Here is an 11133-nt window from a genome sequence, read left to right on the forward strand (position 1 = left end):
CGGGGAAACCTACGTGACCACCTTAAGTTTCCCCCAGATGTTGCGGCTGCCGCTGCTGCTGCCGCCGCCGCCGCTGCTCGGCGATGCCCTAGCGGGCGCGAGAAAAAAAATAAAACCAGGAAGTGGGTGGGGGGGGCGGGTTGTGGTGGCGGGTGAGGGTGTGTGAGTAGGGGGATGAGGAGGGGAGGGCGAAGAATAGCATATTAGCATGAGCTCGGTAGCGTCAGCGCCCCGTGGGCAGAAGCGATTCCATGCGAACGAAAGGGAAAAAGTGAGAGTTTGGAGAGCTGGGGAGAAGGAAGGGGGTGGGGGTGGCGGTGACGCAGGGGCGCAGGCATTGACGCACCGGCCAGGCTGGGCCCAAAATAGCAGCAACTCCAGCTCAGAGGCGCCCTCCCGGGTTCCCTTCCCCTTCCGCGAGGGAGCAGGGCGCGGCCACGGGAAGCTTTCCTTGATCCCCGCGGTGGGCCAGGCTCCCGGCCGCTATTTTCAGGCAGTCGGAAACTCAAGCACAGGCACGCCGGGGTGGCAGTTATTATTTTTTAATATAGTCCTAGGAAAACGGGGGCCGGGAGAACTTGAAGGTTGTAACCACCAGCCTCCATACACATACTCCCGTCTAAGTAGATACATTCACTCTGCACGCTTCCCCCTCCCTCATTGCCATTAAAAACACATTCAGTTTAGGTTGGGTTGAGCCTGGGACAATTTGAAAATGCCTCCCCAGAGAGCTGAAAAGTGTCCTGGAGTTCTTAAAGTGAGCTCCAAGGAAGCCAAACATTGTAATATGATGCCTTATTCTTTAATAACAACCTGTCGAGTGCGGCTTCCTGATAACAGCCTTTGTCCAAGTCTTAATGCAACCAAGAATGAAGGGTCGTTTTCACAGCAGCTTATTATAACAATTATTATTAACTGGGAATATAATTAAATATAAAATTAAATATAAATTAAAATGAGAGAAAGGGGAGACCTTTCTCATCTATTCCATCATCTGTGTAAGAGTTCTCTCCTCTTCAAAGTCCTATTCTGGTTTCTGGGAAGCTTTTACTGTTTCTTAGGAAGACACGCCGGATGTAAGACTGTTAAACTCGTTTAAACCAATTTTGAATAAGCTACTTCTTAGGCTAGGGTTTCTGTAAGGCCCGGATGAGATGGGTTGGAAAGGATTCAGCATATAGATCAGAAGTGTTTAAAAAAAAAAAAAAGGCCACGCTCAAAACCCCAGACTAGTTTTCCTCACCAGATTCTGATGGGACGATGTCTCAGTAGCACCGCCAATGTGTGTGTAATTGACTGATCCAGTCAGTAGGGGGCCTGACTCCACAACGTTCAAGAGAATCACTCACACACACACACACACACACACACACACACACACACACACACACACACAAGCTATTTACTACCTAAGCTAAACCAAAGAGAATGCTGCAGGCCCAAATATTCATATTGTGCTGGAATTCATAAATAACTAAAAATCTTTGATTCTCTTCTATTTTCTCCAAAAGGGAAACAGTTTTAACACATGGGATTAGGTTCACAAAAGATTTTCTTTATTTCCTCCTGCTCATGCTTAACTCACTGTTAGGTCACAGAAGGAAAAAATCAAACTGGTAATAAAATCTCTCATTTTATCACCAAGAAGTTCAAATTGGCATACAGTTTGGAAAAATGAAAGCATGTTTTAAAATCCTATGATTACATGTTAAATAAATTATAGTTTAGAAGGAGATTCCTGTGGGTATATTTGCTAGTACATAAGAGAATGCTTTTGTGCATAGAGATTTAATTACACATATGGAATCAAAATGTAGAATTGAACAACCTTTCAGAAAATGTTAAAACGATGCTTTAGGCTAAAAGAAACTGAAATTCTGCATTTATATGACTGTAACCCTTCAAGATTCTTGAACATAAATAGTTCAAATAAAGTATTTTATAACTCAATTAAAATGACAATAATGGCTTTTTCAGGCCCCCGCAGCCGATATAACTTTAAACTATTGCCATGTATAAATGTGTAAAGTTACCCCACAATGAAGGTCTATTTTCTTAACAGTTTTTAAAATGAGTGGGAGTAAAAATTGCACCTATCCTCTTTTGAAACCAACTAAAATAAATTAAAAAGCATTACTATTAAGAAACACTATTGGATGACCACAGAAAAACATTTAGGAAAGTAATGTTACTATATTATCTTTTATGACATTAACCAATATTAGGCAGAACATATTGGTACATGTAAACATATTTTCATTAAAAATCAACATAAATAATACATATACTCACATCTAAACCAAAGTAGTTTATTTTATGCATGGCTAGGCAGATTATACTTAATAAAATTGAGCTTTTGGCATAATTTAGAAAGCAAACATGAATGTAATCCCATAGGATTTTCTATTTTAATGCATAGGAAAGAGGCCTTTAGGGATTTATTTCACCATTCTTCCCAAATGAATTCAGAATAGACCTTACAATGCAGATATAGTGAAACAGACATACCTGTTATGCTTTACGAGTTGAGGCAACTTTAAGATTTTTCATAATAAAATTACTTTGTAGAACCTATTTTTAGCATTACAAGATATATATTTTAAATTACATTTGGACAAACTCATTCACAGCATTTGTTGCCATTGGGCAGTAAGTCACATTACTGATACAAGAAATAAATTTTCACTTTGAAAAAAATCTGTTTCTGAAAATACAAAATTAGTTTTTACTTCTGAAAGTGTTTTTATTGTTTTGCTTTTGCCATTTCATTTGCATTGACAGGATAGTAATTGACCAAATTGTTTGTTCCTTTCTCATAGGATGGTTAAAGAACAAGTCAATTGCTTTGTTAATATTCACATTTTGGATAGTTGTAGCTTTTATTCAGTATTTCTCAGCCGATTTTTACCAAAAACCACTTAACACAAATACTTTTAAAATTATTTCTTTCTTTGATACAGAACTCAGTACTAGAAATGTGTAAAGATGTGCAGAAAAAAAACAGCATTCTTTTTTCTGGAAGCATCTTCTTGTAAATTGAAATTATAAAACTGAACATATGGTAAAACCTCATGCCACTCAAAAAGTATTTTGCATAATAAAAATCCTTCATTTTTTGTTAATACTTGACACCCAGTAACCATCTCCTAAATACTTGCTTTTAAATTAACCACTTAATATTTTCTTATTTAAGAACTATTTTTTATTAGGCAAAGAAGAATAACTTTGGTTTTAGATTTCATTGCTAATTTTAGTAAACATAGGCATCACTAAAATGTACAAAGTCCTAAAAGACAGTTTAAAGATTATGAAAATAAGTTGCTACATGCTAAGAAAACATCAAATATCTGCAAATTCTAAAAGTAGTTAATAGCATTATAACACTACCAGTATTAGATAGCATTTATTTAAATTTAGATAAAATACATACATTTTGCAAGTTTTTATATGTAAATCACAAGCTGGCTAGTTTTTGTTCTATCTTTAATGATAAAATAACCACTTTTGATTTTTTCCTCAGACTAATTGGTGGATGGAATGTCTCAATTTAATTTTAAAAATGAAGGTATTGATAATATTGCAACAGAGACATATATGCCCTTTTTCTCATCAGAATTCTGCAATTATCAAGCCTACAATTTTAACACTACAAAAGTAACTTAAAGCAAGGACCCTTATAGTGATAAGTAATAAATCTAATTACCATATCCTTTGAATAGATGTAATATAAATTTCATTGCTCACTTAAAAGTTCTAAAGTTAACAGCATAAACTTGAAGTTGAGTAATTAAGTAATCCTTATATAGACACTTATTAAAGTATTTATACATATTATCTTAAATCTACATCTATCATTTTGCCAATTAAAATTAGGACTTTAATTGCAATTAAGTAATTTAATTGCCAATTGAACAGCAAAATTGCTAAGTGACTAATTTTAATGCCTATTTTAATTACCAATCATGACTGGGGAGGGAGCTAATCAAGTTACATCAAGCAGCACCAGAGTAATGATGTGAAAAAAAAAAAAAGGGTAGAACAAACATTCAAGGCTACATGCTTCAAAAAAAGAAACATAAATTAAATAAATGCAAACACAATCCTATAAATGTATAAAATACTGTATTTCAATATCTCAATACAGAACATGAAAGGAAACAAGATTAATTAAAGAAACCCCTGTCAATCTTCAAAGTAAGGACAACCAAAGTCAAATTTTATATGGTATTTACATGGCACCCATGCTAACCCAGATAAAAACAAAAGCTGTATACAGTCGAGAATAAAAGGCTGTTTCCTGCTTGGCTGGTTAAATATTTACAGACTGGCAGTTAAAAAAAATTCTTAAATGAAATACCATAAAACAGAGAAACAAGTTTCCAAATGCAACAACGTGGATTTTGCATTTGAAAAGCCAACAGGGCAAGTGCAATGGGGCACTATACTCTTTCCTGGTTGTTCCTCTCAGCCACACTCACTTGAATGAAGAGTTCTATGAGAGGCCTAATGCCTATCCATAGCTGTCCCATGTTACCCTGAGAAAAACAGACACCTGGCCAATCTTAAATATTTTAAATTTATTCGGGAGTAAAAATAAGAAAGCGGCTAGGATTACATCACAGTTAAAATTATTTGGCATGGGGAATATACCTAATTCAATAGTCATTCTTCATTCAGTTAGAATAAACATGCCCACTCAAGATAAAGGCTGAAAACCAGCAGGCAACCAGAAACACTGGTGAAATTTTTCTTGGACAACACAAACATATTTTCAAAAGTTTTCATATTCAGACTAATTCTCAGATTAGCAATATGGAGGGGCACTATTGAAAGGAGGAGGTGAAGTTGAGAACTCAAAAAATAGAAAGTGATTCCCTGTAGATAGTAACAATTCTAGTACTTTCTGACTGTAGGGTTTCCCTTGGCAGCCAGCCACCTCATTTAGAGTAACAATGGACATCCATCAAATCTTCATTTAAAATAAAAGTCATGCTGCAAGATACATATTTTATTTTTGTTGCCATATATATATACCAAAAATATACCTACTTATGTCTACAAAAGGGCCCAAGATTATTAATGAAATATATGTAAGCCTATAACTTGAGGAACAGCAAATCGTGCGGCTTGGGATTTTATTTACTAATGGACTTCAATTGTGAAATGAAGCACAGCAGGACTTTCGGCCTGGCTTTTGAAGAAGGAACACTTTAATAATCACTGGGCCTGACAAGACTGCAATATCTGTTCATGACAATAACAGCTTTATAAAGCAAGTTCTGTGTGACTGATTAAAGGACACACTCACCGCCTATTCACAAGTCATGGAGATGGAGTCATTATTGACAAGCTCACCATCACTACTGATCACATTTAAGACACATCGAGTGCTGGTGCTACAAAGAGAAATAAAACCTCAGCCATTAAAAGATTTAAAAAACAGCCCCAGAAGACAAGATTGCCATAACTTATGTATATCTTAATGTGTTCTGTATAAGATTTTCTCCTATATACACACACAAAGGATCTTATTTGATAATAATTATCAAAATTATCGAACTAAAGCACTAGGTAACAAATCAGCCACTACAAAGGAAAAAAAAAAGGAGAAGCATCGTCTTATAATTTCACAATAATTATGAAAGGACATGATATATAGACAAACTTTCAAAATGTTAACACTTTCCGAAACTTGACATGACTGAAAGTAAATACTTTTTCAGACTGTTCATGTCTATCTTAGGCATTCTGCTAGTCATTAGTTTACATGAATTAATGTTTACATAGTGCCAGAAGCAAAAAGTTTTAAAAGTATGTCTCTACCTTTCAGATATCCCTTAGTAGGTAAAAGTAAACATAAAGTTTAGAAATTCTAGTAAGTTATTTTACTTTTTGCCCTTAAAGTATTGTCTTCCCGTGTGATCTATCTGTATTAGTGAATAGAAAATAAAGGATACAGTAAGACAACCACGTTTATAATCTGAAATTAAAGGCAATCAATTAAAACATTTTATTAGTCACCAGGATATTTAAAAATGAGACCTGTGAAATATTGCAGAATCACTCCACTAGGAGAGAAGCAGCAACTTAAGTATGCTGTCACTGACATGTTGGGAGGAAAAAGCAAACTACCAGTACCACCATGTACATGATTCAAATTAAGCTACATAAATAGTGAGTGCATGGGGTTGTGGGTACAGAAACTGGTTCGCTGAGGAGGTGCTACTTACATTTCCTGTATTTCATATTTCTGAGAACTGTCTTCTGTAATTTCCAAAGTGTAGGAATGGTTGAAGTTTGAAAATAAATGGAGAATTTCAAATAGTTAATGAATAGATTTAGGAGCTATACTGAAACAACTAGCAGAAAATACATTTTCTGGAGTTCTTTAATTTTGTACGCTTAAAAGTATGGTGTTCCTAAAGATGGCTAATTCTTGTTGAAGTAAGTAGCTCTGGAAGTCATATTTTCCATTTCTCCATACTTCATCTATTAATCAGTTGACTGGCAATTTCCGACACCAGTTTTGCTAAACTTTATAAATTTTGCTTCCTCCAGAGGTAGGAGGGGGAAGGAGATGGGCAATACAGAAACAGATTTTACAGCCAGAATATGACAGGGCCCCTTAAACTACAAATAGATGTAGAATTTTAAATGTAGCTCTGTAGTTCAATTTATACCACAGAAATTGCGAGATGCTATCTTCCTGTTGTTATAACGTATCAGGTCAAGGGATATAAATTGTACCAGGTAATTCATTTTGCTGTTCAGAGAGTCATTAAGTTCCTCCCAGAATATATGTGATTGATATCCCTGGAGGTGAAAGGCTAAAGGAACCATATGGCAACATGTTGCATTCCGTATGCTATCTGCCCATCCGTGCTTAAGCTGTCATTAGCAACATCTGTACCTTACGGAAATCCAGCTGCGCCGACGACGGCTGACGGAATTGTACTTGGGGGGAAAATCTAGCTTAGCGCCATTAACTTGAGACTTAGAGTCTATCTACCAGGACGGATGGAAGCTTTCACAATTAGACGAGACGACACGAATGCTTTATTAAAGTTTAATTTTGAACTCCCAATTAGCGAAAGTGCATTACAAATCGATTGCAATTTCCTAGAAGGTGCAGCAAGTTCTCTGCCTGCCTGCCACGTGCGAGACGCTCCACAGCGAGCTTCCCCAGCTCCGGGCAGCAGAAAGGGGATGGTTCAGAGCCGATCTCCGCATCCCAGGAAGTCCCTAAAATCCGCGCCAGCCCCTCCTCCCGCAGGGCGGGGGCGTCCACGGCGCGAACCCGCCAGAGGTGTAGGGGGAAGTGTGGGGGGCTGGTCCGCAGCCTTCGAGGGGTGGGGCGACAGGAGCGAGCGGCCGGGGGAGGAGAAAAAGGCGGGCGGCGGGAGAGGGGGCCTCTATTATCTCGGCTTCTCGGGAGGAGCCTCATCTAGTCAGTCACGCAGAAGTTTCTCTTTCGCTCTTCGCGCTACACACCCAGATTGGCTTCCAGCGCGCAGGCGAGTGGGGCGAAGGAGGGGGGACAGGAGTCCCGGAAGGGCCGTCCGGCGTTCACACCCACCCCTGTTCCGCTCCTCCCGCCCCAAACAAAGTCCCCCGACTCTAGGTCCAGGATACGTTACCTGCCCGGCGCTCCCGGCCCCTCGGTCACCGCATCCCCCGCTGGGCGCGCCTGGTACGGGTCCCGCTCCCCGGGGCTCACAAAGTGGTCGCCCCTGGCTGGGCGGCTGGGTAGATGCCCCTCTCTGGACATGTTGGGGCGGTTTTTGGGGTGGAGGGAACGCGGGAAGTGAAAGCGGAGGCTGGGACAAGGGGAACTTACTGATAAAATGGAAAAAAAAAAAGCCCACAGGGCCCAGGTCCTGGCCGGGGGCGAAAGAGGCCTGTTACCTTTCGGGGGGTCGCGGCCGACCAAGAAGGGAGCCGGGGAGTCGCCCGCCCCCCTCCCCCGGCCCCCGGCCCCCGGCCCCCGGCGGCTGCGGCAGCTGCACACAGAAGCCCATTGTCGCCGGCGTCCGGCGCGCAGCCCCGCGGACTCGGCCCCGCGGCCAAGCGCGTCAGCGGCCCCGTCAGCCGGGCCGGGCTCCGTGACGCGCGCGCAGCCCGCGCTATAAATAACCTGCCGCCGGGCGGCTCGGGCGGCTTTCCAGTGACGCTGGGGCGGAGGCGCGGTAGGAGGAGGGCGAAAGGAAACAATAAAACCGCCCGGCAGCCTCCCAAGTCTCCCTCCTCCCTTCCCAGGCCGCCCGCGGCCCTTCGCGTCGAGCTCCTTTTTCCCCGCCCCGGCCCGCCCTGCGGGGAGCGCGGTTCGCGGGTGGGAAGGAGCCCGGCGTGCTGGCGTCCCCGAGTGCTGCCGGGGCCCCGGGGCGGGAGGGGGTTTTTCCCGCACCCTGGGATGGCGAGGAGGGAACTTGGCGACAAGTTTAGTGAGGGGATCGCTGTGTTCCTTTCTAGTCCAGTTAAAATGACCCGAGCTTTTCCCGCTCCCTCACACACCTATTCTAGTACAGGTCGGATGTGTTTTTGGGGTAGTAAGTCCTCAACCGAAAACAAAAGCGAAAAACCTGTCGTCTTCAACGTAAGCATTATCTAGGTTTTTGTGGGGCCAGGCTTGCATTAGTGTTTTCATTCGGGGGGTTGTATTATAGAAAGGGTGCCCCGTAGTAGCAGCGTGAGGAAGGGTTCCAGGACCCAGGCTGTCAGCTCCGGTGCATTTACAGGTCTTTTTGCCGTAGAATTTAGCATAGGCCTGAAACATGGCATAAATGAACTTTCTAAAAGTCTATAATCTCAACGTTAAAGAGCTTACTTTTTAACTCTGGACTTTAATAAAGGCTCCCACTTTAAAAGGGGCTTTCTCTATAGGAAAGTATTAATATTTTTGTGGAGACTCTCACTGCTACCTTCCATACTCAGGCAATTCTGTCACACACCCTGACACTTGTCCTACTCATTAAGGTACCCACATACAACTGGAGGTAATCTGTTTTCTTGGACCAACAATTAATAGACTATAAAACTGTATTTCGTCTTGAGCAAAATGTCTCAGCTATGAACATGTTTTCTGAGGTTCTGATATAGACATAGATAAAAATTTGCAGATGCAAGCAAGGTGTTGCAGTGACTTGGCATGGTTAGAGTGAGTTACTAGTGTTGGGGGAAATGGTTCTTAGTTCACTAGTGAGGCAAAGTGGTATAGTAGAAGGTTCTCTGAGCTGGGGTTTAGAAGATAAAGAAATTTGAGTTTTAATTATGTCTTCACTGTACTTTTCTGTGCCACCTTGCAGAAACCACGGCCTTTCTCTGCCGCACTTTCTTCATTAACATTAAGGACTGATAGTTCCTTTTCTACCCTTACATTCTAGGATGTTAAAGGATATTGTGTCCAGGGATAAAGTTTTATCAAATAAACATAAGCACCCAGTGTCTCATGGGAGACAGGTAACAAATGTAGATTAATTTGGTGTTCTGACATTTTAAAATTTTGTACATCTTAAAATATATTAGGGCCACTTCAGGAAAATAATGAATTAAAATATACCATTAAAACTATTTTAAGAGGAAAAACTAGTCACAGTCTGCCTCATTTACAGGACAGCAGACATATTTACAGTCTAATGATGTCACAGGCCCTTTCCAACACCACGTTTTCTCATGTGAGCAAATGGATTATGGGTAGCAAAATGCAATGAGATCACTTTCTCCAATTTTGCTCCCATTTCTGGTTTGTGTGGTTTTTAAAAGGAATGTTTCCGTTGAAAGACACTGAATTGTTTATCACTAAGTGGTGTTATTGAGACAAGGGAAAGTTTTCTGATTTATCAGTCAGAATATGCTTTATTCTTCTTTCTTCAGGTTGGTGAATCAGAAAACATAAAAGTGGCAAAATAAGTTTAGAGCCAAAACATTTGCTTCATATAGTCACCGCCAAAGTGTGATCACAACTAAAAGTTAACCAATATTTTTCCAGTTCCAAAAGCACATCTGTCTCTCTTTCCCATAAAATGTTTGATATGTCTAATTTAACTTAGCCTTAAGGTTCTTTCTTCTGCTCCTTATAAAGAGGTATTTTTCTTTCACTGCTATTTTCCTGAAACACTGAGCTTCTCTCATAATTTTAAATTAAAGCCCTTTTGCTTACTTCTTATCCCTTTTTAACGTGATGTTCCATTTTCCATTATCCCTGCCCTTAAAAATTTAATAGGATGAGAACTAGCATATATTGGCGAAATTTGAAACATGCCCGATTTTAGAGGGGAGGGAGGAAACAAGATTAGCTTTAGAACCAGTAGAAATACAGTAAAACAACCAGTTTCCTCAAAACTAACAAAAACAAAAAAATCATAACGAAATTCGTGAAATAGGGGACTGAAAATACGGAAAATATTTTATCTGGATCTCATTGATAACATAAAGCTTGTTACAATTTTTCAAACATAGTGAATGTTTTAGAATGTGAACATTTCCCAATCTTCTGAAGTTTCTGTCTACCTGAGGTTAAATCCTTTGAAAGACTCCTCTACAGCAACAGTATTGAAGAATTTATTAGAGAAACTACAGTGAACTCTTGCCTTATTACTCAGTTAATCCTGATCTATATTTAGAGAGTGGTGCCAGCCAGGTTGAGGCTTCAAAGGAATGAGCACAAATATTTACCATATCCTGTGCAGTAGAGTTTTGGTGATTGAAATGAAAATTCATCTTGGAAAATATCACTGAAGTTATAGTATAAGCAAATCTCAGCAACCTTCAAATGAATAAATAGAAGGTTAACAAGAAAAGTGATGAGGGATTCTCAGTATTCCAAATGAAAGAAAAGAGACAACTCAGATTTAGAGGTAGGAGCCTTCTTCATTTAAAAGGCCAAGAAATTCAGGCAGACAGTGTCTTAAAAATAAGGGTGACTAAATTCAGGAAAATTACAGGGCTCCCAACATTAGTTAAAAATGTGGACATATACGCACATAACCGGCCCTTCTGATGAGGCTGTCCTGATTTTAATGGGTAATGCCTCAAGCTGCCCAGACTTTGGTATCCTCCCATTGATGGGAGCCACTGCAAACAACTTTGTTGTTCTAGTATAAATTATCAACCTCCAACTAGGATTTGTTAACTATG

At 40.2% G+C, this 11133-nt stretch overlaps 1 long non-coding RNA gene across 1 annotated transcript, besides 7 other annotated features; it reads right to left on the reverse strand.

Moving 5' to 3' along the window:
* Positions 50-922: an enhancer, noted in NCBI's record as "H3K27ac hESC enhancer chr2:157190964-157191836 (GRCh37/hg19 assembly coordinates)". NCBI's record gives its function as "activates a minimal SCP1, AML or CMV promoter by ChIP-STARR-seq in primed H9 embryonic stem cells {active_cell/tissue: H9 hESC(primed)}" and the evidence as "EXISTENCE:reporter gene assay evidence [ECO:0000049][PMID:30033119]".
* Positions 481-580: an enhancer, noted in NCBI's record as "active region_16660". NCBI's record gives its function as "activates an Ori minimal core promoter by ATAC-STARR-seq in GM12878 lymphoblastoid cells {active_cell/tissue: GM12878}" and the evidence as "EXISTENCE:reporter gene assay evidence [ECO:0000049][PMID:35858748]".
* Positions 2170-7718, reverse strand: FLJ46875 (uncharacterized LOC440918). The gene has a single exon (NR_147695.1). It is a non-coding gene; the product is annotated as an uncharacterized LOC440918 (long non-coding RNA).
* Positions 6623-7178: an enhancer, noted in NCBI's record as "NANOG-H3K27ac hESC enhancer chr2:157197537-157198092 (GRCh37/hg19 assembly coordinates)". NCBI's record gives its function as "activates a minimal SCP1, AML or CMV promoter by ChIP-STARR-seq in primed H9 embryonic stem cells {active_cell/tissue: H9 hESC(primed)}" and the evidence as "EXISTENCE:reporter gene assay evidence [ECO:0000049][PMID:30033119]".
* Positions 7179-7732: an enhancer, noted in NCBI's record as "H3K27ac hESC enhancer chr2:157198093-157198646 (GRCh37/hg19 assembly coordinates)". NCBI's record gives its function as "activates a minimal SCP1, AML or CMV promoter by ChIP-STARR-seq in primed H9 embryonic stem cells {active_cell/tissue: H9 hESC(primed)}" and the evidence as "EXISTENCE:reporter gene assay evidence [ECO:0000049][PMID:30033119]".
* Positions 7280-7379: a silencer, noted in NCBI's record as "silent region_12017". NCBI's record gives its function as "represses an Ori minimal core promoter by ATAC-STARR-seq in GM12878 lymphoblastoid cells {active_cell/tissue: GM12878}" and the evidence as "EXISTENCE:reporter gene assay evidence [ECO:0000049][PMID:35858748]".
* Positions 7920-8529: a silencer, noted in NCBI's record as "silent region_12018". NCBI's record gives its function as "represses an Ori minimal core promoter by ATAC-STARR-seq in GM12878 lymphoblastoid cells {active_cell/tissue: GM12878}" and the evidence as "EXISTENCE:reporter gene assay evidence [ECO:0000049][PMID:35858748]".
* Positions 8940-8999: an enhancer, noted in NCBI's record as "active region_16661". NCBI's record gives its function as "activates an Ori minimal core promoter by ATAC-STARR-seq in GM12878 lymphoblastoid cells {active_cell/tissue: GM12878}" and the evidence as "EXISTENCE:reporter gene assay evidence [ECO:0000049][PMID:35858748]".

Source organism: Homo sapiens, chromosome 2 (genome assembly GCF_000001405.40).
Source record: "Homo sapiens chromosome 2, GRCh38.p14 Primary Assembly".
NCBI lineage: Eukaryota > Metazoa > Chordata > Mammalia > Primates > Hominidae > Homo > Homo sapiens.